The sequence below is a fragment of the Homo sapiens genome, chromosome 2 (genome assembly GCF_000001405.40).
Source record: "Homo sapiens chromosome 2, GRCh38.p14 Primary Assembly".
Classification (NCBI taxonomy): domain Eukaryota; kingdom Metazoa; phylum Chordata; class Mammalia; order Primates; family Hominidae; genus Homo; species Homo sapiens.
The window spans coordinates 183,046,779-183,068,757 of NC_000002.12; the positions used below are offsets into that span (position 1 = coordinate 183,046,779).

General features: G+C 40.5%; 1 non-coding gene across 1 annotated transcript, besides 2 other annotated features; it reads right to left on the minus strand.

Annotated features, from left to right (window-relative positions):
* Window positions 2,015-2,980: an enhancer, noted in NCBI's record as "NANOG-H3K27ac-H3K4me1 hESC enhancer chr2:183913521-183914486 (GRCh37/hg19 assembly coordinates)". NCBI's record gives its function as "activates a minimal SCP1, AML or CMV promoter by ChIP-STARR-seq in primed H9 embryonic stem cells {active_cell/tissue: H9 hESC(primed)}" and the evidence as "EXISTENCE:reporter gene assay evidence [ECO:0000049][PMID:30033119]".
* Window positions 3,520-4,021: an enhancer, noted in NCBI's record as "NANOG hESC enhancer chr2:183915026-183915527 (GRCh37/hg19 assembly coordinates)". NCBI's record gives its function as "activates a minimal SCP1, AML or CMV promoter by ChIP-STARR-seq in naive H9 embryonic stem cells {active_cell/tissue: H9 hESC(naive)}" and the evidence as "EXISTENCE:reporter gene assay evidence [ECO:0000049][PMID:30033119]".
* Window positions 17,457-17,568, minus strand: LOC124900540 (small nucleolar RNA SNORA77). The gene has a single exon (XR_007088731.1). It is a non-coding gene; the product is annotated as a small nucleolar RNA SNORA77 (small nucleolar RNA).
* Window positions 17,569-21,979: the final 4,411 nt, after the last annotated feature.

Here is a 21,979-nt window from a genome sequence, read left to right on the forward strand (position 1 = left end):
CAAGTATAGGACACCTCTACTCCCTCCTTGGTGACCGATCATGCACCCCTTACCATCCCATTAAAACCTAATCACCCTTACCCCCACTCAATGCCAATATTCCATTCCACAGCATGCTTTAAAAGGATTAAAAGCCCGTTATCACTCGCCTGTTACAGCATGGTCTTTTAAAGCCTATAAACTCTCCTTACAATTCCCCCATTTTACCTGTCCAAAAATCGGACAAGTCTTACAGGTTAGTTCAGTATCTGCGCCTTATCAACCAAATTGTTTTGCCTATCCACCCCGTGGTGCCAAACCCATATACTCTCCTATCCTTAATATCTCCCTCCACAACCCGTTATTCTGTTCTGGATGTCAAACATGCTTTCTTTACTATTCCTTTGCACCGTTCATCCCAGCCTCTCTTCGCTTTCACTTGGACTGACCCTGACACCCATCAGGCTCAGCAAATTACCTGGGCTGTACTGCCACAAGGCTTCACAGACAGCCCCCATTACATCAGTCAAGCCCAAATTTCTTCCTCATCCTTTACCTATCTCAACATAATTCTTCATGAAAATACACATGCTCTCCTTACGGATCGTGTCTGGCTAATCTCCCAAACCCCAACTCCTTCTACAAAGCAACAACTCCTTTCCTTCCTAGGCATGGTTAGATACTCCGCCTTTGGATATCTAGTTTTACCACCCTGACTAAATCATTATGTAAACGCACAAAAGCAAACCTAGCTGACCCCATAGATCCTAAATCCTTTTGCCACTCCTCTTTCCATTCCTTAAAAACAGCCCTAGAAGCTGCTCCCACACTAGCTTTCCCTGTCTCCTCCCAACCCTTTTTCATCACACACAGCCAAAGTGCAGGGCCATGTGGTCAGAATTCTTACACAAGAGCTGGGACTGTGTGCTGTAGCCTTTTTATCCTAGCCCTCGTGTCTGCGTGCGGTGGCTGCTGCTGCCTTAATACTTTTAGAGGCCCTCAAAATCACAAACTGTATCCAACTCACTCTCTACAGTTTTCATAACTTCCAAAATCATTTTCTTCCTCACACCTGATGCATATACTTTCTGCCTCCCTCCACTACCTCTCAGCAAGTCAAACTCATTGCCTTAACTCAAGCTCTCAGTCTTGCAAAAGGACTACGTGTCAATATTTATACTGACTCTAAATATGCTTTCCATATCCTGCACCACCATGCCATTATATGGGCAAAAAAGGGGTTTCCTCTCTACACAAGGGTCCTCCATCATTAATTCCTCTTTAATAAAAACTCTCATCAAGGCTGCTTTACATCCAAAGGAAGCTGGAGTCATTCACTGCAAGGGCCATCAAAAGGCATCAGGTCCCATTGCTCTGGGCAACGCTTATGCTGATAAGGGAGGTAAAGAAGCAGCTAGCATTCCAACTTCTGTCCCTCATGGCCAGTTTTTCTTCTTCTTATCGGTCACTCCCACCTACTCCCCCACTGAAACTTCCACCTATCAGTCTCTTCCCACACAAGGCAAATAGTTCTTGGACCAAGGAAAATATCTCCTTCCAGCCTCACAGGCCCATTATATTCTGTCGTCATATCATAACCTCTTCCATGTAAGTTACAAGCCGCTAGCCCATCTCTTAGAACCTCTCATTTCCTTTCCATCATGGAAATCTATCCTCAAGGAAATCACTTCTGAGTGTTCCATCTGTTATTCTACTACCCCTCAGGGATTGTTCAGGCCTCCTCCCGTTCCTACCCATCAAGCTCGGGGATTTGCCCCTGCCCAGGACTAGCAAATTGACTTTACTCACATGCCCCGAATCAGGAAACTAACATACCTCTTGGTCTGGGTAGCCACTTTCACTGGATGGGAGAGGCCTTTCCCACAGGGTCTGAGAAGGCCACTGTGGTCATTTCTTCCCTTCTGTCAGACATAATTCTTCAGTTTGGCCTTCCAACCTCTATACAGTCCAATAACAGACTGGCCTTTACTAGTCAAATCACCCAAGCAGTTTATAAGGCTCTTGGTATTCAGTGGAACCTTCATACCCCTTACCATCCTCAATCTTCAGGAAAGGTAAAACGGACTAATGGTCTTTTCCCAAAAACTCACCAACCAAGCAAGTAATTTCGCTGAACCCCCTTAGGCACTCTCTAATTGGATGTCCTGGGTCCTCCCAATTCTTAGTCCTTTAATACCTATTTTTCTCCTTCTTTTATTTAGACCTTGTATCTTCTGTTTAGTTTCTCAATTCATGCAAAACTGTATCCAGGCCATCACCAATCATTCTATACGACAAATGTTTCTTCTAACAACCCCACAATATCACCCTTTACCACAAAATCTTCCTTCAGCTTAATCTCTCCCACTCTAGGTTCCCACGCCACCCATAATCCTGCTCAAAGCAGCCCTGAGAAACATCGCCCATTATCTCTCCATACCACCTCCAAAAATTTTCACCGCCCCAACATTTCAACACTATTTTGTTTTATTTTTCTTATTAATATAAGAAGACAGGAATGTCAGGCCTCTGAGCCCAAGCCTGCACATATTCATCCAGATGGCCTGAAGCAAGTGAAGAATCACAAAAGAAGTGAAAATGGCTGGTTCCTGCCTTAACTGATGACATTACCTTGTGAAATTCCTTCTCCTGGCTCATCCTGGCTCAAAAGCTCCCCCACTGAGCACCTTGTGACGCCCACCCCTGCCAGCCAGAGAACAACCCCCTTTGACTGTAATTTTCCACTACCTACCCAAATCCTGTAAAACAGCTCCACCCCATCTCCTTTCACTGACTCTCTTTTCGGACTCAGCCCACCTGCACCCAGGTGATTAAAATGCTTTATTGCTCACACAAAGCCTGTTTGGTGATCTCTTCACACGGACATGTGTGAAAGGAGGTAGAAGCAAATCATAAGTAAATGGCATCTCGGGAGCCAGGGGAAGAAAGTATTTCAAGACGATGTGGTCAACCCAGTTGACTACTGCTGAGAAATGGAATAAGAAGTAAACTAAACAGAAAAGTACTCATTGAATTTGGCAACCTGTAAGTTTTTGGTACTTTGAGAAGAATAGTTTCAGCAGAATGGAAGAGATTAATTAAGTATAGAATGGGAGAAAGGGATGTGAAAATAACATATGTAGATAAGCCTTTTGAGACTTTTGATTGTGAAGGGAACAAGAGATGGGCAGTAACTAGAGGGTTAAGGGAAGGTTTTTGTTTATTTTCAATGAAAGTTGCCAGATTATCCAGTAGAGAGGGAGAGGTTTATGATTCAATAGAGAAAGAAGGAATAAGCAAAGGAGCCGAGGCCCTGATAGAACAAGAGAGATGGATGGGAAGCAGATGATATATGTCCAGACTGATTTTTGATTGGTTTCGGGGGGAAGTGCAGGGAGGAGACAAGATATGATATTAGCTAACATCTATTGATCACTTTCAATGTGTCATGTCCTGTCCAAGTGTCTTAACATGTATTAATATGTTTCATCTTCATAGCAAACTCTTAAAGTAGTGCTGAGACCAGCTCGGTCGGGGAGACTCTAACCCAGTGACGCTAGAGGAATTAAAGACACACAGAAATATAGAGGTGTGGAGTGGGAAATCAGGGGACTCACAGCCTTCAGAGCTGAGAGCCTTGAACAGAGATTTACCCACATATTTATTGATAGGAAGTCAGTGATAAGCATTGTTTTTATAGATTATAGATTAACTAAAAGTATTCCTTATGGGAAACAAAGGGATGGGTCAAAATAAAAGGATGAGTTTGGCTAGTTATCTCCAGCAGGAGCATGTCCTGAAGGCACAGATCATTCATGCTATTGTTTGTGCTTTAAGAACGCCTTTAAGCAGTTTTCCACCCTGGGTGGGCCAGTGTTCCTTGCCCTCATTCTGGTAAACCCACAACCTTCCAGCGTGGCCATCATGGCTACCTTGAAAATGTCACAGTGCTGCAGAGATTTTGTTTATGGCCAGTTTTGGGGCCAGTTTATGGCCAGATTTTGGGGGGCCTGCTCCCAACATGTCCTCCTTCTTTGATTTGCAAAGCGATAAAAGCAAAAGCAGCTTTGTCACAGTTAGCTACTTCTTGCGGGAATCAGGATCTGCATCTGCAGGCTATACAAAGACAAATAACACAGATTAAAAGCACAATCATTGAAATCACAGAGCTTCTAAGAGTTTTTATCCATTTTAATGGGTTACTAGCTTCTAATCTGTCTGCAACTCCTTCAAGCACTCTAGTTCCTGGCATTAAGGTCAGGTGTGCCTGGGATGCTTTAAATATTTTTTCTTTTAATTTTGCAATATCCAAAGACAAGTTTGTAGAGTGTCCTTCTAGATGCTTTTTTATTCTTTCCCAAATTTTAATCCTATTAACAGCTATTAATAATTTCCACAAATCCTTATGTGTAGCTCCTATAATGGGCCATATCATTTGAGGTTAAGGTACCACTATACCGCCATGATTCCAGATATAGGAACTCTTGCGTACTTCTTATCATTTCTGCCATCTGACCGTTTTGTTCAGACCAGCTGAACATAGTGTGACCGTGGCACACAGACTGAGAGGTGCGATTCAAGCTAAACATCCCCTTAGGGGACCAATCAATAATGATTCCATAGGAATCATTGCGCAGCACCTCTGCCTGTTCTGCAATGCAGTCTTCCTAAACAAGTACATTCATTTTTTCTGACTGGGTCCAATCCTGTTTACAAATAGGTTTTTGAGGACGGTATCCCTCAATTATAGGAGCAGATTTATTATGGTACATACTGAGACCAGAAAGCATGTGTAACTGTGTCATAGAGTGATTACATCCAGGCATTATTGCCAGCCAAGATTGATAAATATGCCCAATAAGTATAATTTTTCTCTGTGTCAGCCCTTGTCGAAGGAATAAACACAGCAATGGTGATCACCGCTATCATAGCTACCATTAAATTACTCATTGTGACTGGTTGTCCTGCTTTCCTCAGGTTTTCTTCTGCCATCTGTGACAGTTTCTTCATCTGTCCCCAGGTGGGTGGCTGTGTTCGACGGGTGTTGCTCATGACAGTTGGGGTCCTCCTTAGTGTCAGCCTTTACATGGCTGCAACTGGGGGGTCCTCGGATTTCTCCCGGAATCTCTCCATCGGATAATTGCTCTGGAATTAGAACTTGTGCTCCCCATTCTTGTAATAAATCTCTCCCCCATAAATTTATAGGTACAGAAGTTATAATTGGTTGAATAGTCCCAGGTCGTCCATCAGGTCCTTCACATTGCAAAATATAACTACTTTGATATACTTCAGGGGCTTTACCAACTCCAACTATGTTAAATTGAGCAGGTTGAATGGGCCACGTGGATGACCAGTGCTGTAGAGAAATGACTGAAATGTCTGCTCCTGTATCTACCAAAACTTTAAATTTCTTTCCCTGAATAGTTATTTCACAGGTAGGACGTTCATCAGTAATTTGATTTACCCAATAAGCTGCTTTGCCTTGTTTATTTGTGCTTCCAAACCCTCCTGTTAGTTTAATTTCATTTTTCCCTATTTCCACATATGGCACAATCAGGAGCTGTGCTATACGTTCTCCTGGCTCTGCTTTCCAGGGAACAGAAGTAGATATAACAATTTGAATTTCCCCATTGTAATCTGAATCATTGACTCCTGTTTGTATTTGTACCCCTTTTAAATTTAAACTAGACGTTCCTAGAAGTAATCCTATCATCCCCGCTGGCAAGGGTCCACAGACTCCTGTTGGGACCTTTTGTGGGGGTTCCCCAGGCAGAAGGCTCACAGGTTTTGTGCAGCATAAATCTACTGTGGCACTACTGGCTGTGGCGGGGGACAGACATTGTACAGGGGTGAGGGAATGGCCTGAGCCGGAAATGCCCTGGTTTGGAATGGGGCCTGGGACGGGCCCCTCATGGCATTTCCCGAATTTAAAAGGAAAAGGCTCAAACGTAGCTATAATATTCCCCTGTTGATCTGGGGGGTGTATTCTAACAGGGAACTGCCAAGCCTCTATATCACCCTCTCTTCTAGCTTGCTGGATTCCCACCTGAATAGAACTGAGAGCGGTCGCTGGAGGCGCTGCTCAGTCATTGGGGCAACTACTTTTCACCCAGTGTCCTCTGGAAAAGAAGCATCTGGAGGGTCAGGCCACTCTTTTTCTTCAAAATAAGGATGGAGTGCAGAAGGGTAAGGATGAACCTCTCCCTCCTTTGCCGCTTTAGCTTTAGCTGGCAAACAAACCTGCTCTGTAACCTCTTCTGTTACTTCGTTATACTCCCCTTCCTCCTCATCATCAGTGTGAAAAGGTTCCAAGGTGGAATGAACCAGAGTCCACCCTTGTCCCATTGTTACCTTGATGCCTCCGAGCTCCCCTTCTTACTGACCATGGGGACTGCTTTAAGAGTACTCGGGTGTCCTCCAGCTTAGTTCCACGTTCTCCAACTGTCGCTCTGGTGATCCTTCGACCTGGATTCGAGCCCCCACGTATGGGCGCTGCTTGCCGAGACCAGCTTGGTCAGGGAGACACTAACCCAGTGGTGCTAGAGGAATTAAAGACACACGCACAGAAATATAGAGGTGTGGAGTGGGAAATCAGGGATCTCACAGCCTTCAGAGCTGAGAGCTTCGAACAGAGATTTACCCATGTATTTATTGACAGCAAGTCAGTGATAAGCATTGTTTTTATAGATTATAGATTAACTAAAAGTATTCCTTACAGGAAACAAAGGGATGGGTCAAAATAAAAGGATGGGTTTAGCTAGTTATCTGCAGCAGGAGAATGTCCTTAAGGCATAGATTGCTCATGCTATTGTTTGTGGTTTAAGAATGCCTTTAAATGGTTTTCTGCCCTGGGTATGCCAGGTGTTTCTTGCCCTCATTCCGGTAAACCCACAACCTTCCAGCATGGGCGTCATGGCCATCATGAATATGTCACAGTGCTGAAAAGATTTTGTTTACGGCCAGTTTTGGGGCCAGTTTATGGCCAGATTTTGGGGGGCCTGTTCCCAACAAAGTAGGTACCCATAATCATTCCTATTAAACAGATGAGTGTCTAAGGTCACAGCTGGTAAGGGGAAGAGCTCCACTGGAGTGCACTGATGTAGGTCAGTAGAATTGGTTTTGAGAAGATGAGAATTTCCCATTTTCTTATATCTTCTATTTCTCCAATGAAATAGAAATATTTCACAATCCTAAGAGGGAGGTCATACATCAGAAAATGTTAAATATTCATTTGTGCTTGGTGTCATGCACTTAAATGGTTAGCAGTAAAAAAGCCTAGAGTCTGGGGTCAGATTAACAGAGTTGAAAACCTGGCTTTGCTACTTACAGTAGTGTGACCTTGGACATATGAATAAAGCTCTCTAATCCTCAGATTTTCACCATAAATGGGGATAATTGTACCTACCTCACTAGATTGTCATGAGGAATATATGAGATTATTTTTAGCATTGTCTCATATGTGGTTATACTAGCTATAAATGTTGCCTTTTATTACTACTCTTAAAGTTATTGTTATTATTATTATCACTCCACTCTGCCCAGTTTTGTGATTTTCTATGTTAGTACATGGCTTCAGGCCCAGAGAAGATAGAGGGTTATGGATTTTTCTTTTTTTACATGAGTGTAATGGAGGGAGAGAGTGGCAAAGAAATGAGAGTAGTGACTAGAGAATAATGGTCTACTTTAAATAGCCAACACATTGTGTTTTAGCATTCAACCAAAACAGAATTAAAAATCTACCTAATTGTATTAAATTGCTGTGCTTGACAAACTCCTATTTCAAAGTAATAACTTCCAAAAATGACGTTTTCACCATTTCACATTAAGTACACACCATAATCGTTATACTTCTAAGCCTTGATTATGTGCAAATGTTAAGGACATTTTTTTTCTTATTATAAAAATATATACTATGTTAAAGTATTATAAACTCATTATAAGATTATTTTCCCCAGTAAGACATTGCTGAAATCTAAATGTTTACAATAAGTCAGTTGTTCACTGATGTTTAAATTCAACTTTGTAGTCCCACTTAAATTAAAATCCAGGCCAAGTGCAGTGGCTCACACCTGCAATCCCAACTCTTTGTGAGGCAGAGGCAGAAGGATCACATGAGGCCAGGGGTTCGAGACCAGCTTGGGCAACATAACAAGATCCCCTCTCTACAAAAGAATAATAACAATAATTTAAAAAATTTAAATTCTGACCAGGTACAGTGGCTCACACCTGTAATGCCAGCACTTTGGGAGGTCGAGTTGGGCAGATTGCCTGAGCTCAGGAGTTTGAGACCATCCTGGGCAACATGGTGAAAGATTGTCTCTATTAAAAATACAAAAGAAAAAATTAGCTGGGCGTGGTGGCATGTGCCCATGGTCCCAGCTACCTGGGAGGCTGAGGTGGGAGAATAGCTTCAGCCTGGGAGGTAGGGACTGCAGTGAGCTGAGATCGCACCACTGCACTTCACCCTAGGTGACAAAGTGAGACCCTGTCTGAAAAAAAAAAAAAAAAAAAGCCAGTGTTACTTAAGTACAGTCATACAAACTAAGCTGCTACTATAAAATCATGTTTTTCTTTAAAACTGTGAACATACACTGCCCCACCTGGATTGTTTGCACATTAAAGTTTTACCATTTCATAGATTATTTTTAATTGCTTCAACTCATTACTCTTTGCACAAACCTTTAGAATCAGAGTTTATTCACATTTTCTACAACTACTTTTTACATTTCTTATATTCCCAATGGTCTTCATTTGTGCTATATTTGAAATGAAAGGATGAACAATTTACTTTTAGTTTGTGAAGAGAGGAAACCCACATTTCCTAATTAGTGTCCAATTTATTTATATAGTTGATTCTACATGTAAAATATTAGGAACACATTAAAGCAAACTTTAGCATTACATATGTATGTATACTTTCTTATGTCACATTTTAATTATAGAATTGTTTTACTTGAGCAGAAAACATTTGTAAGTTGATTTAAATAAAAATATGTTATCTAATATATTAGCCAAAAGTGCTAGTAGTTCTGTTATATAATACATTGGCTAAAAATGCACCTGCTACTACATTACAGACTATGGGACTTCCAAACATCAGAAGAGAACTTTGGATGTGCAATTCTGGAAATAACAGAATTAGCTTAGAGCACCCTCCTGTTTTAAAAGACAGTGAAAGACTTAAAGCCTGTGAATTGAATCAGAATAAAGGAATGAAGTGAGCCACTCATCTTTATTCATTTTCCCCATGGAGTCAAAGAAGAAATAAAAACAAAGCTGAAATCATTTTTTCTTTATGCTGGTGTTGGCCAAATTAATTTTTGGTTACAAGGTTTCTAATTAGCTTTTTTTTTTTTTTTTTTTTTTTTTTGACAGAGTCTTGCTCTGTCACCAAGCTGGAGGGCAGTGGCGCGATCTCAGCTCACTGCAATCTCCATCTCCCGGGTTCAAACAATTCCCCTGCCTCAGCCTCCCAAGTAGCTGGGACTATAGGCATGTGCCACCACTCGCAGCTAATTTTTTGTATTTTTAGTAGAGACAGGGTTTCACCATGTTGGCCAGGATGGTCTCGAGATCTCTTGACCTCGTGATCCACCTGCCTCGGCCTCCCAAAGTGCTGGGATTACAGGCGTGAGCCACTGCACCTGGCCTCTAATTAGCTTTGAGTAATGGATCCCCCTGCTGAAGCTGGTCATCCTATCCATAAAATATATACAAATATTGTAGTACAATTTTAAATAGTTTATGGTTTCGTTAAGACCATATAAAGCTCCAGAGACCCTAGATTTGAAACCACTATGCATTGTAATGAGTCTATCAAAAATGGCATAACAGGAGCGATTGTATACCCTGGTAATCATGTGCTAAGCATCCGGGTTTAACCTGGCATAAATGTTAAAAAGAAAACTTTCTATGCCGGGGGCGGTGGCTCATGCCTGTAATGCCAGCACTTTGGGAGGCTGAGGCGGGTGGATCACCCGAGGTCAGGAGTTTGAGACCAGCCTGGCCAACATGGTAAAACCATGTCTCTACTAAAAATACAAAAATTAGCTGGGCATGGTAGCGGGCACCAGTAATCCAGCTACTCAGGAGGCTGAGACATGAGGATTGCTTGAACCTGGGAGGTGGAGGTTGCAGGGAGCAGAGATCACGCCACTGCACTCCACCCAGGGAGACAGAGTGAGACTCCATCTCAAAACAAACAAACAAAAAAACCTAAAGCTTTTTAGAATGTCATCTGGATCTGTAAAAGAGCCTCTTTCCTAATGAGTTCAATGCATTACCCTATGGCAATCTTTCCATGACAGTAATAGGGTAGCCTCTGTTATCAACATTTTATCAGGACTAAATATTCCACTGTAGATCATTTACTCAAGTTCTCTCTTTATCTGCCTCCCTCTGGCTGCCAAGACCTTTGGCACCTCCAACAGAGGGTGGGAAGGAGAACTGAAAACATGAGACTCAAATTGTTTTGTTTTGCTTTCATTTGAACACCTTAACTAAACAGTTTTGTATAAAAGAAGAAATGGAAACTGCTGATTACCAAAAAGTCTTTTAATGGTCTGCAAGTTATCATTTGTCTACATATCCCTTTTTCTTATTGTTATAAGTAATAAAGGGTTGGATGTTTCCTTAATGAAATGTACAGTGTTTTAAAGAAATCCTGTGGCTTCTGCACATTACATAAGCCATAGTTAGTCTGCCTCAGAATGATTGCAGAAATATTGTAAATTTAGTCTCAGAAACTGGCTGCTAATGTAGGCCCAGCCAGCTTTTCAGCTTTCAAGACTGCTCTGTGTAAAATAGCACATTTGGAAATCTGTTGCTGCTACACCCTATTCATACCATACCCTGTTCCTAAGAAGTAAAACTTAACATGAAGAAGAAGCATAAGATATGTGAAAGGGTCACAAAAATGAAAGAAGCAACAGGTTCTAAAAATATTTGGTATTGGTTCAGCGTTCAAATACCTAGACATTAATGTCTTTGAGTGTTGACAATATTCTCTCGTTGGCAAAATACCTCTTCTCTTGATTTCAGTGCTAGCTGGCAAACTCCCATTCCACGGATGTACAACTGGCATCTGTTTCATACTGCTTTTGTTTTTGTGAGAAAAAAGTTAATATAAGGTAAATATCACCACCACCACCACCACCATCATTATTTAATGTTAAATATCAGCTTGACACAAAGCAATGGACTTGACTACAATTATCAGAGTTAGTTAAACTGCCTCAGATTTTTTGTGGAATGAGGTCATGTGAAAATATAATCAAACACTGTACTAGAAATAAGGAATTTTTTTCCTTCTCTTCATGGGAGACAGATTAGCTTAATTCATGTGAAATTGTTTCTTTTTCTCTTATGTCCTTTTCATTTCAAGAGGTATTCCTACCTTTAGTGGGAAGGGTTTTTTTTTTTTTTAATTTTGATTTGTTTTGTTTTGTTTTGAGACGGAGGCTGCCTCTGTCTCCCAGGCTGGAGTGCAGTGGCACGATCTGTGCTCACTGCAACCTCCACCTCCTGGTTTCGAACAATTCTCCTGCTGCAGCTTCCCAACTAGCTGGGACTACAGGCACCTGCACCACCCTGCCTGGCTAATTTTTGTATTTTTAATAGGGGCGGGTTTGAGATGGCCAGGCTGGTCTCAAACTCCTGACCTCAGGTGAGCTGCCCACCTCGGCCTCCCAAAGTGCTGAGATTGCAGGCATGAGCCATTGCATCTGGGCTTTTAAAAAACGTTTTATGTGAAATCTCGTCTCTACTAAAAATACAAAAAATTAGCCGGGCGTGGTGGCAGGTGCCTGTAGTCCCAGCTACTCGGGAGGCTGAGGCAGGAGAATGGCGTGAACCCGGGAGGCAGAACTTGCAGTCAAAAACACAAACAAACAAAAAAAACATTTTTATTACAGAGAATTTCAAACATGAAAAGAGTAAATAGAGGAGTATATTAACTTCCCATGTAATGATCACCCAGCTTTGACACTTAATGACATTTTTCCAAACCTGAATGTAAAGGTTTTGTCCGTAATCTAAACCAGAACTCTTATTTATGCTAAAATAATACATTAGAATAAAAAATAATATAATAGAAACTCTTTTTGTTTTCTTTTTTTTTTGTTTTGAGACAGAATCTCGCTCTGTCCTCCAAATTGGGGTGCAGTGGTGTGATCTCAGCTCACTGCAACCTCCACTTGCCAGGTTCAAGAGATGCTAGTGCCTCAGCTTCCAGAGTAGCTGGGACTACAAACGCACAGCACCACTCCCAGCACAATTTTTTTTTTGTTTTTTGATACGAAGTCTTGCTCTGTCGCCCTGGTTGGAGTGCAGTGGCTAGAGTGCAGTGGTGAGATCTCGGCTCACTGCAACCTCCGCCTCCCGGGTTAAAGCGATTTCCCTGCCTCAGCCTCCTGAGCAGCTGGGATTACAGGTGCACGCCACCATGCCCAGCTAATTTTTGTATTTTTAGTAAAGATGTGGTTTCACCATGTTGGTCAGGCTGGTCTCGAACTCCTGACCTTGTGATCTGCCTGCCTCGGTCTCCCAAAGTGCTGAGATTACAGGCGTGAGCCACCACGCCCGGCCAATTTTTTTTTTTTTTTTTTTTTTTAAAGACAGGGCCTTGCTATGTTGCCCAGTCTGGAATACACCAGCTATTCACAGGCTCACTGTAGCCTTGAATTCCTAGCCAGAAGCAGTCCTCCCTCCTCAGTCTCCCAAATAGTTGGGACTACAGGTGTTGAAAGCTAGACATTTTCACATTTCTTAATGGTAATTTTTATCAACATTTTAAAAAGAAGAGATGGTAAGAACAAATATCAAAGTGACACTCTTGGCAATAGCCAAACCAAGGGGTAAAACATGTCTATCAAACTGAACTTAAGCTAACAGCATGTGATATCATAATTATATGAGTAGTGCTTCCTAAATCCTGGTTTCTTCGAGAAGTAAGAATGTACCCAATGCTTTCATTTTGCTGAGTCACCATGTGGAAAGAGAGAAAAATCAACCACTTACTGAATGAATCACTTTGTTTTTCTTCTAAGTAATTTGCTCTTCTTTAAGAACTGGCAGGCATGAAGCTACCAGGACTTGTGCTACCTGTCTTGTCAACAGTAATACTCACCCAGGGATTACAGAAATGCTTTTAATAATAACATAGATCAGACACAATCTAAATTCTCATAGTAGGAAAGAGTTACAGGAGTTATATAGTAAACCTACACCAAGAAATTTCGTAGGAATTATATGCCAATGAAAGAAAATGTAGGTAGGCAGGTCTTAGTAATGTATATCTGCCTCTTTAAAGTGTTCTAGGGTCATAACCAAAAAGATTATGTAATTCAGACAAATGGGCCTTCTGAGAGGTATATCCGTTCTTGGTCTGACAAGGGATCAGGACAAGACAGGCATAGTGATCTCAAGTCCCACTTGGCCTGTGGACAATGACTGATTGGGTTGGACATTTGAGGTACAAAATCCAGACTAATTTATGGGAACCAAAATAAAGTTGCACTTGAGCTGTTTTACATCTTCTGTGGCACTTTGATGGAAACCATGCACTGAAGAGCCCATTGCCTAAACCATCCCATTCATAGGCATTCTATGGTGCTGCTCTACTGTTTTAAAGTCCCCAACATTCTTTGCTTTAGCCAAAAAATGTAGTGGCACTGACTGCAGAGGGTGGCTTTTTAAATATACTTACGTCCAAAAGGTAGATGCAAATGCTCCAGACCCCCCTTTCCCTTTGTTAGCACGGATTAGGTCAGTAGGCAGCCTTGTATTGAGGAGGAAGGTGTAAGAGGAGTTAGTCTGTTTAGGGGTGGGTCTGGTGGGGTCTGGGGTTGGGAAAAGAATAACAGCGATAGTCTTGGTCTGGCCAGAATGTGCTGTAAGAAGTTCCCTATGCCCTGATAAGAGAAGGAGGAAGTTCTCTGTAAGGTCCTCTGAGCTGGTCGCACCATGGTCGAGCCATCGTGACATTCCCCCGCCCTTGTGATAATGTACTTTGTGATATTCCCCAACCTTGTGAATGTACTTTGTAACATTCTTCCCCACGCTTGTGACAATACACACTCACCGCCCTTGAGAATGTACTTTGTAACATCCATCCCCCGCCCGCAAATAATTGCTCCTGACTCCACCGCCTATCCCAAACCTATAAGAATCAACGATAATCCCACCACCCTTCGCTGATTCCTTTCTCAAACTCAGCCCACTTACACCCAAGTGAATAAACAGCCTTGTTGCTCACACTAAGCCTGCTCAGGTGGTCTCTTACACGGACAGGCATAACATTCTCCTTCCCTGAAGAGAGCAGAAGGAGAGAACTTATCAGCATTCAGGAATGCTGTGAGAGAAGATGTGGCACTCCAAAGGCAGGAAACCATTTCAAAGAAATGTGCTCAGAGTTGGGCGGTCAATAAGGATTGCTTTCAAAGGAAAAAGATGGTGTCACAATTCTGCCAAAGCCTGCTCTGAAAAAAGGTTTACCCTTATAAAAATAAAGGGGCTGGGCGTGGTGGCTCACGCCTGTAATCCCAGTGCTTTGGGAGGCTGAGGTGGGCAGATTATGAGGTCAGGAGATCAAGACCATCCTGGCCAACATGGTGAAACCCTGTCTTTACTAATAATACAACACATTAGCCGGGTGTGGTGGTGCACACCTGTAGTCCCAGCTACTCAGGAGGCTGAGGCAGGGGAATCACTTGAACCTGGGAGGCAGAGATTGCAGTGAGCTGAGATAGCGCCACTGCACTCCAGCCTGGAGACAGAGCAAGACTCCGTCTCAAAATAATTAATAATAATAATAATAATAATAATAATAAAATAAAATTTTTTAAAAAAAGGGCCTATCTTCTCCCTATCCCTCTAAATCTTGGAACATAGATAATTTAATGGCACTGGGAGTTGCAGTGTTAGGGGGAGTGGTAGAGCTACCAAACCCAAGTAGTCAGCTTTCCATTTCCCAGGAGCTGAAGAGGGCTGGGTAGAATCAGCTCTGCTTTTTACCATTCTCTTCATTGACATCTATTCTGCCCCTGTTCATTTGAGGTTCACAAAGGCTTTCCTGCTTTCTTAGAGGAGTCTGACATCAAAACCCCAGCAGAGCCAATGTGGAGGGGTATGTGAAGGATGAGCATCTTTAAAATTACAGAAAGTGGTTTTCCCCATTGTGAGAACACTTTTCAATCTATTCTCACTGGGAAAATTAAGATATTCTAAACTTTAAGAAAATGCTGTCAACTTTAATAGGAAAAAAAGACTAAATTATTTGGAATTTATGGGAATGCAATCCAGTTGTGATGGTAAATAGTTTTATTTGTTTTTTTTTTTTTTTTTTTTTTTTTTTTTTTTTTTTTTTTTTTTGAGATGAAGTCCCACTCTTTTCACCCGGGCTGGAGTGCAATGGAGCGATCTCGGTTCACTGCCACGTCTGCCTCCCGGGTTTAAGCGATTCTCCTGCCTCAGCCTCCTGAGTAGCTAGGATTACAGGCATGTGCCACCACACACAACTAATTCTGTATTTTTAGTAGAGACGGGGGATTTTCACCATGTTGGCCAGGCTGGTCTCGAACTCCTGGCCTCAGTCGATCCACCGACCTCGGCCTCCCAAAGTGCTGGGATTACAGGCGTGAGCCACCATGCCCGGCCCGGTAAATAGTTTTAAAAGTCTCTTTTATTTAACCTAACAAGGGGCAAAGATTGCCTAACTTAAGTTTCAGTTGTTTTTATTTCCCCTGCTTCCCTTCTCATAATGGTTTGAGTGGAGAAATCATAAAATCATAAGTTTAGACCTAAAAAAGTCCTTGGAGATAATTTCTTCCCCTTCATTTTACAGATAAGAAATCTCAGGCCTGACAAGGTGGCTCACACCTATAATCTCAATGCTTTGGGAGGCCAAGATAAAAGGATCATAAGCCCAGGAGTTGGAGACCAGACTGGGCAACATAGTAACACCCCCATCTCTAAAAATTAAAAAAAAAAAAGAAATTTGCCAGGCACAGTCGTGTGCACCTATAGTCCCAGTTATTTAGGAGGCTGAGGCAGGAGAATCCCTTGAGCCTGGGAATTCAAGGTTGCTATGAGCTATGATCTTGCCACTGCACTCCAGCCTGGGTGACAGTGAGACCCTGTCTCAGAAAAAAAGAAAAAAAAGAAAAGAAATCTCAGAACAGATAAATAGCTAAATGTAGGAAGTCAAAAAGTTGCAGGAGAGACATTAAGTATAGATAATTCATAAAATAAAAATCAGATCCACGAAATCCTGAGTTTGTTGTAGAAAATGTCATTACACTTAACAATATTTTCTCTGCAGATCTGGATATGTGTTTGTTGTCTCTATTTTTGTTGGTTAAAGAATGGATCAAGGTTTTACAAAATTGTTTTTTGCTGCCACAGTGGAAATCTACAAAAATGGGTAATAGGCTATTTTGGGACCATTGTTCAGAAGTGCATTTATCTTAGAAATGGTTACCATGGAGATGAGCACACGTTGTGTGACTCTACAGCTTGCAAGTTAGAGTCATCCATGCTAAGACATAAATAGCTATATTATTACACACAGATGCACAAGAGCTCGTGAACACATGCACAATAAAGTTATGTTGTTCCTCTTTTTGTAAAATAATAATAAAATTCCATGTAGTGCTGACATTTGGTGGTGGAAGGGCCTGCACATCTTAGACATTTTAAAATGTAATATTGTATGATGATATAAAAACCACTTTTTAAAAACACCATAAAGTAGTCTGAATCAAGTTTAAAGAGTAACAACATACTTAACAAGTAAAATAAATGAGAGCATGTTTCTTAGACATCACTGCTTCTTAAAGTAGAAATACAAAAAAAGTAAAAAACAAACTCAGAAAATATTACAAAAAGTTCTTGAGTTATTTTTCCCAAAGCACTCAATATTGGGCATAGGTATTTACCTAGTTTCTCTCTCCCTCTCTGGCTAATTAAGTACTTTCTCTTTTTTTCTTTCTTTCTTTCCCTCTTTCTTTCTTTCTTTCTTTCTTTCTTTCTTTCTTTCTTTCTTTTTCTTCCTTCCTTCCTTCCTTCCTTCCTTCCCTTCCCCTTCCTTCCCTCCTTCCTTCCTTCTTTCTTTTGTTTCCCTTTTTTTTTTTTTTTTTTTTTTTTTTTTTGAGGCAGAGTCTCACTCTGTCTCCCAGGCTGGAGTGCAGTGGCGCGATCTTGGCTCACTGCAACCTCCCCGCTTCCCGGGTTCAAATGATTCTCCTGCCTCAGCCTCCCAAGTAGCTGGGACTACAGGTGCTCCCCACCATGCCCCGCTAATTTTTTGTATTTTTACGGGGTTTCACCCTGTTAGCCACCAGGATGGTCTCAATCACCTGACCTCATGATCCACCCGCCTCGGCCTCCCAAAGTGCTGGGATTACAGGCATGAACCACTGCGCCTGGCCTTGTTTCCTTTTTCCACTTGGACTTTTCTTTTTCTTCAGGAATTTTTTACCCTCTGTGTCCCCAGGCAGCTGCATCACCCTAGAGAGGTCAAAATGGTCACAGCACCATGGAATGCTCACTGGCAGACCGAAAAAGCACCCGCTGGATGCTGAGGGAGTCTGCAAAGAAAATAAAGGTTTTAACATTTCAGTGATCACTTGCCGAGATCACAAAGGCATATATTCTGATAAAGTTAATTTGCTTTAATATTTTTACCTTTTTCTTTACATTTTATAATGGATGTTTTCAAATTTTCAAACAAAAAATGAAAGGATAGTAAAATTAAGCCCTCTCCCAGGTATCCGTCACCCAGCTTCAATACTTATCAACATATGGCTTATTCTGTTTGGTTTACAACCCTCCTTCCCCCATCGTTTTAAATCAAATGCAAAACATCATAATAACAATTCTTTTGAATAATTGAACTAGTCAATAAGAAATCTTTTTTCCTCCACAATTTGGAGTTTTTTCTATTTTCCTTGGAAACTTCAAAGGCTTCATTGTGTATAGGGTGCAACGCAGGGTACTGAATTCAGTAGTGTAAACAATAATAACTATAATAATAATAGTAATAATAATAATGCTTTCTCCATCATGCAAGTGATTAAATACACCAATGATTTAGCCACATTTAGCTTTGAAGCTACATGCCATCATTCATCTATTTCTTTTCTTGTGTGAAAAGAAATCTTTTCTCATGCACCAGAGTTAATTTTTTCAAGACTAATTACTGCATATGTATTTAAACACATCTTTAAAGTAAGCCATGTACTTTGACTTGTTTTATAGAATCACAAGAAATATACATAAAATAAACAAAATACATGTTTTCTGCTTTTTTAAGACAGTGATTTTAACACATCTGATTAGTAAACAAACAACCTATAATAGCTAAAGAGTACACAAAAAGTACAACTATAAAAAAACTAATCATCTTTCACAATCTTTTCATTAAAAATAGCCATGTATGGGCGAAGTGGGTTGGCTCACACCTGTAATCCCAGAGCTCTGGGAGGCCGAGGTGGGCAGATCACTTGAGGCTGGGAGTTCGAGACCATAATGGCCAACATGATGAAACCCTGCCCTGTCTCTACTAAAAATACAAAAATTAGCCCGGGGTGGTGTCACGCGCCTGTAATCCCAGCTACTCAGGAGCTCAGGAGACTGAGACGGGAGAATCGCTTGAACTCGGGAGGCGGAGGTTGCAGTGAGCAGAGATGCACAACTGCACTCCAGCCTGGGTGACAGAGTGAGACTCTGCCTCAAAAAAAAAAAAAGTCACATATGATTTCTCAGTATTTGCTGCCATTTTCAAACTTAGGCATCATGTAGTTTTAGAGATAAAATCAACAAAATACAAAACGTAGGTCAGCAAAAAAGCTGATTATATAACCTTGATTTGCTTTCATTTTAGTACTCTTATCACACTGCCTTCTAGAATTTCAGTACTGAATAACTTGTGAAGTTTTTCCCCCAAATTTGTCCATCTAATATGGCTTATTCTCAAATGAAATATTATTTATCAATGTATTAATAATTAGATCCACGCCTTTAAAAATACATATAAAGTTTTAAAATCTTAATCTTTTAAATCTGTCTCAGGAAGTAAAAGATTTTTAATGTAGAATGAGAGACCCCTCAGAAATCAGAAAAAACATCTTTTCACTCTACATAGCCTCATCCAGGTTAATTAATATGTCTTTAAATAACCATTGTTTGAAAAGAGTTAGCGTTTCACCTTTATGTATAGCTCTAGTGCTTCTAGCATTTAACTATTCATCCTTATAAAATATCTACATAAATAGCTCCAGGAAAATATACAGGTTTTTAGGAACATTTCCAAGAAAAAAGTTACAGGGGACTCCTGACTCAATTGAAAAAGAAAGGATTCAAGATTAAAAAAGAGACATGTCATATTGTATTGGACCAGTTGATTATTCTAAATAATACTGACACTACAATAAATTTTGAGGGACAGTGCTATAGCTTTCTAATTCATCAATTACAAATCCAGAAATAGGGATGCTTTCCTTAGTTGATGTATAATCCAAACATCTTCTCAGCTTGTTGGATACTATTCTGTTGCTGTCTCTACCAGTACATAAGACAATGCATTCAATAACTTCATTACCCACCATATCCTTTTAGTTGACATAAAAGTACTTCTTTTAAACTTCAAAACATGTTCCCTATTATTTTTAATATCCTAGGATTTTATTAACTTCGTTCACATTATCCATATTATTCCTGATTCTTTAAAGTAATTTGATCATATTTCTTCCCAGCTTTTCATTATTTTAAATTAAAAAGTCATATATGTTTTATATAAATAAGTATTATTAAAAATAGCATTTTAAAGAAGGAGGATAGATTTCTAGAAGAAGGTAGGGAGGTCAACATTATCTGAAAATGACACTCTGGAAATGAATTTTCTGTCATGGACACTCTAGCAGTTTCCAGACACAACCTCCAGCTGCCTCTAGTTATATGCCATCGTATCTTTTCAAGCTCTTTAATTTGGCAGCTCTTCTACCACCCTATTGAAGCTGTTCTATGAAAAATGATCAGCTGATCTCATTGTATCATGTCAATTTAACTTGTCTTCATTCTCTGTATTCTGACTTCTCTGTAACTTTCTACAACATGGAATAACTTTTTCTTTTTTTTGAAATTCTATTTACCTTTGAATACATGGTCCAGGCTTTCACTGGTTTCTATAACTTCTCTTTATCTGTTTTTTTTTCATGTTTCATTTGTTTTCAAGACTCCAAATTTTGTTCCCTAAACCATCGTCCTTTCCTGGGCTTTCTGGAAACTGGCTCCTTTGAGAAGTTCATATCTTCTCATTCAACCATCATCTTTATGTGAATGACCTCAACTCAACTCAGATATCCTGGCTTTATCACTCACTTATTCATCCATCCATGAAATATTTATTGAAGGCTTACAATGTGGCAAGCACTAAATAGATAAGTTGGGCTCCTCAGCACCCTAGAGAAACACAGCTCATAGTCCTTATAACACTAGTGTCCAGATTTCCCTAGCTAGAAATTGTCAAGTCATTTTTGATGAGCCTTTTTCTTTAATCCCCAAATAAATTTTTTAAAATAAGTTCTCATTTATTTTATTAAAAATTGGCTTTTGTTTGGGCCTGGTGACTCAGGCCTGTAATCCCAGCATTTTGGGAGGCTGAGGCAGGAGGATCACTTGAGGCTAGGAGTTAGAGACTAGCAAGGGGAAACACTGTAAGATCTTGTCTTTACAAAAAATTTTTAAAATTGTATTTTTTTTTGTTTGTTTTTTGAGACGGAATCTTGCTCGGTCGCCCAGGCTGGAGTGCAGGGGCACAATCTCGGCTCACTGCAAGCTCTGCCTCCTGGGTTCACGCTATTCTCCTGCCTCAGCCACCCAGGTAGCTGGGACTACAGGCACGCACCACCATGCCTGGCTAATTTTTTATATTTTTAGTAGAGACAGGGTTTCACCATGTTAGCCAGGATGGTCTTGATCTCCTGACCTCGTGATCCACCCGCCTCGGCCTCCCAAAGTGCTGGGATTACAGGCTTGAGCCACTGTGCCTGGCCAAAAATTGTGTTTTTTAAAAGTACTTTATAGGTCATCATTCTTATGGGCTTCAACATGATTCAAGTTGTCAAATCCCTTGTACCTGCATTACTATCTTACTTTCCTGATTGGTCCTCTAACTTATTTTCTTCAGCTTGTATAATATTTTTTATCATGTTATTCTTAATGTTTATAAAACACTATAAGCCCAAAAATCTCCATCTGGTTTTTGAAGCTTACATAATCTAGATCGACCATGCTGTGTAAATTTTATTTCCAACATGCACCCTTCTTAAAGCTCAGATGTTTCCCCACAAGTATGTGTTATTTTTAACTTCTATACTTTGCTAATACCTGTGACTTTTTTTTTTCTGGGTTGATTTTTTTCCTCTTCCAAATGGAATTGTAAACACTTGAATGTCAGAATCTATTTTTAATTGTTGAATTGTATCAATTCTAAAATGCACATTTCTTACATTATTACTTCCTGAAAATGAGGGTGTATCTTTTAATCAATAATGTCTTAAACATTTTAATACAGTTCAATTCGTAATGTTTATTTATTTTTTTTTTCATGGTACATCAAATAGTAGTGTCTCATAATCAATGGCATTTTAAATTCAATGAAATGCCTTTTTTTTTTGCACCTTGATAGTCTTTGATGGAGTATTTAGCTCATTGCAGATGCTCCAGAAATGTTTGTTGGTTGATTCTATGGTTTTAAAGCATAAGTGGCTGCAATAAAGATAACCTGCATGTCTAGCATATACCTAATTTGAAAATTCAATTTTAACATGATTTGTTTTTTGAAGTGAAGTAGAAAAATAATTAGATAAATATTGATGGCAGCAATGGCCCATGTGGAGCAGCAGCTGTAAAGATGCTGGCTGCAGGAGGGATAGGGGGTGGTGGCCGGGGTTGTGTGTTCTGCAGGACAGCATGAGCCAGGAACAGGTGTGAGCCCTGCCCT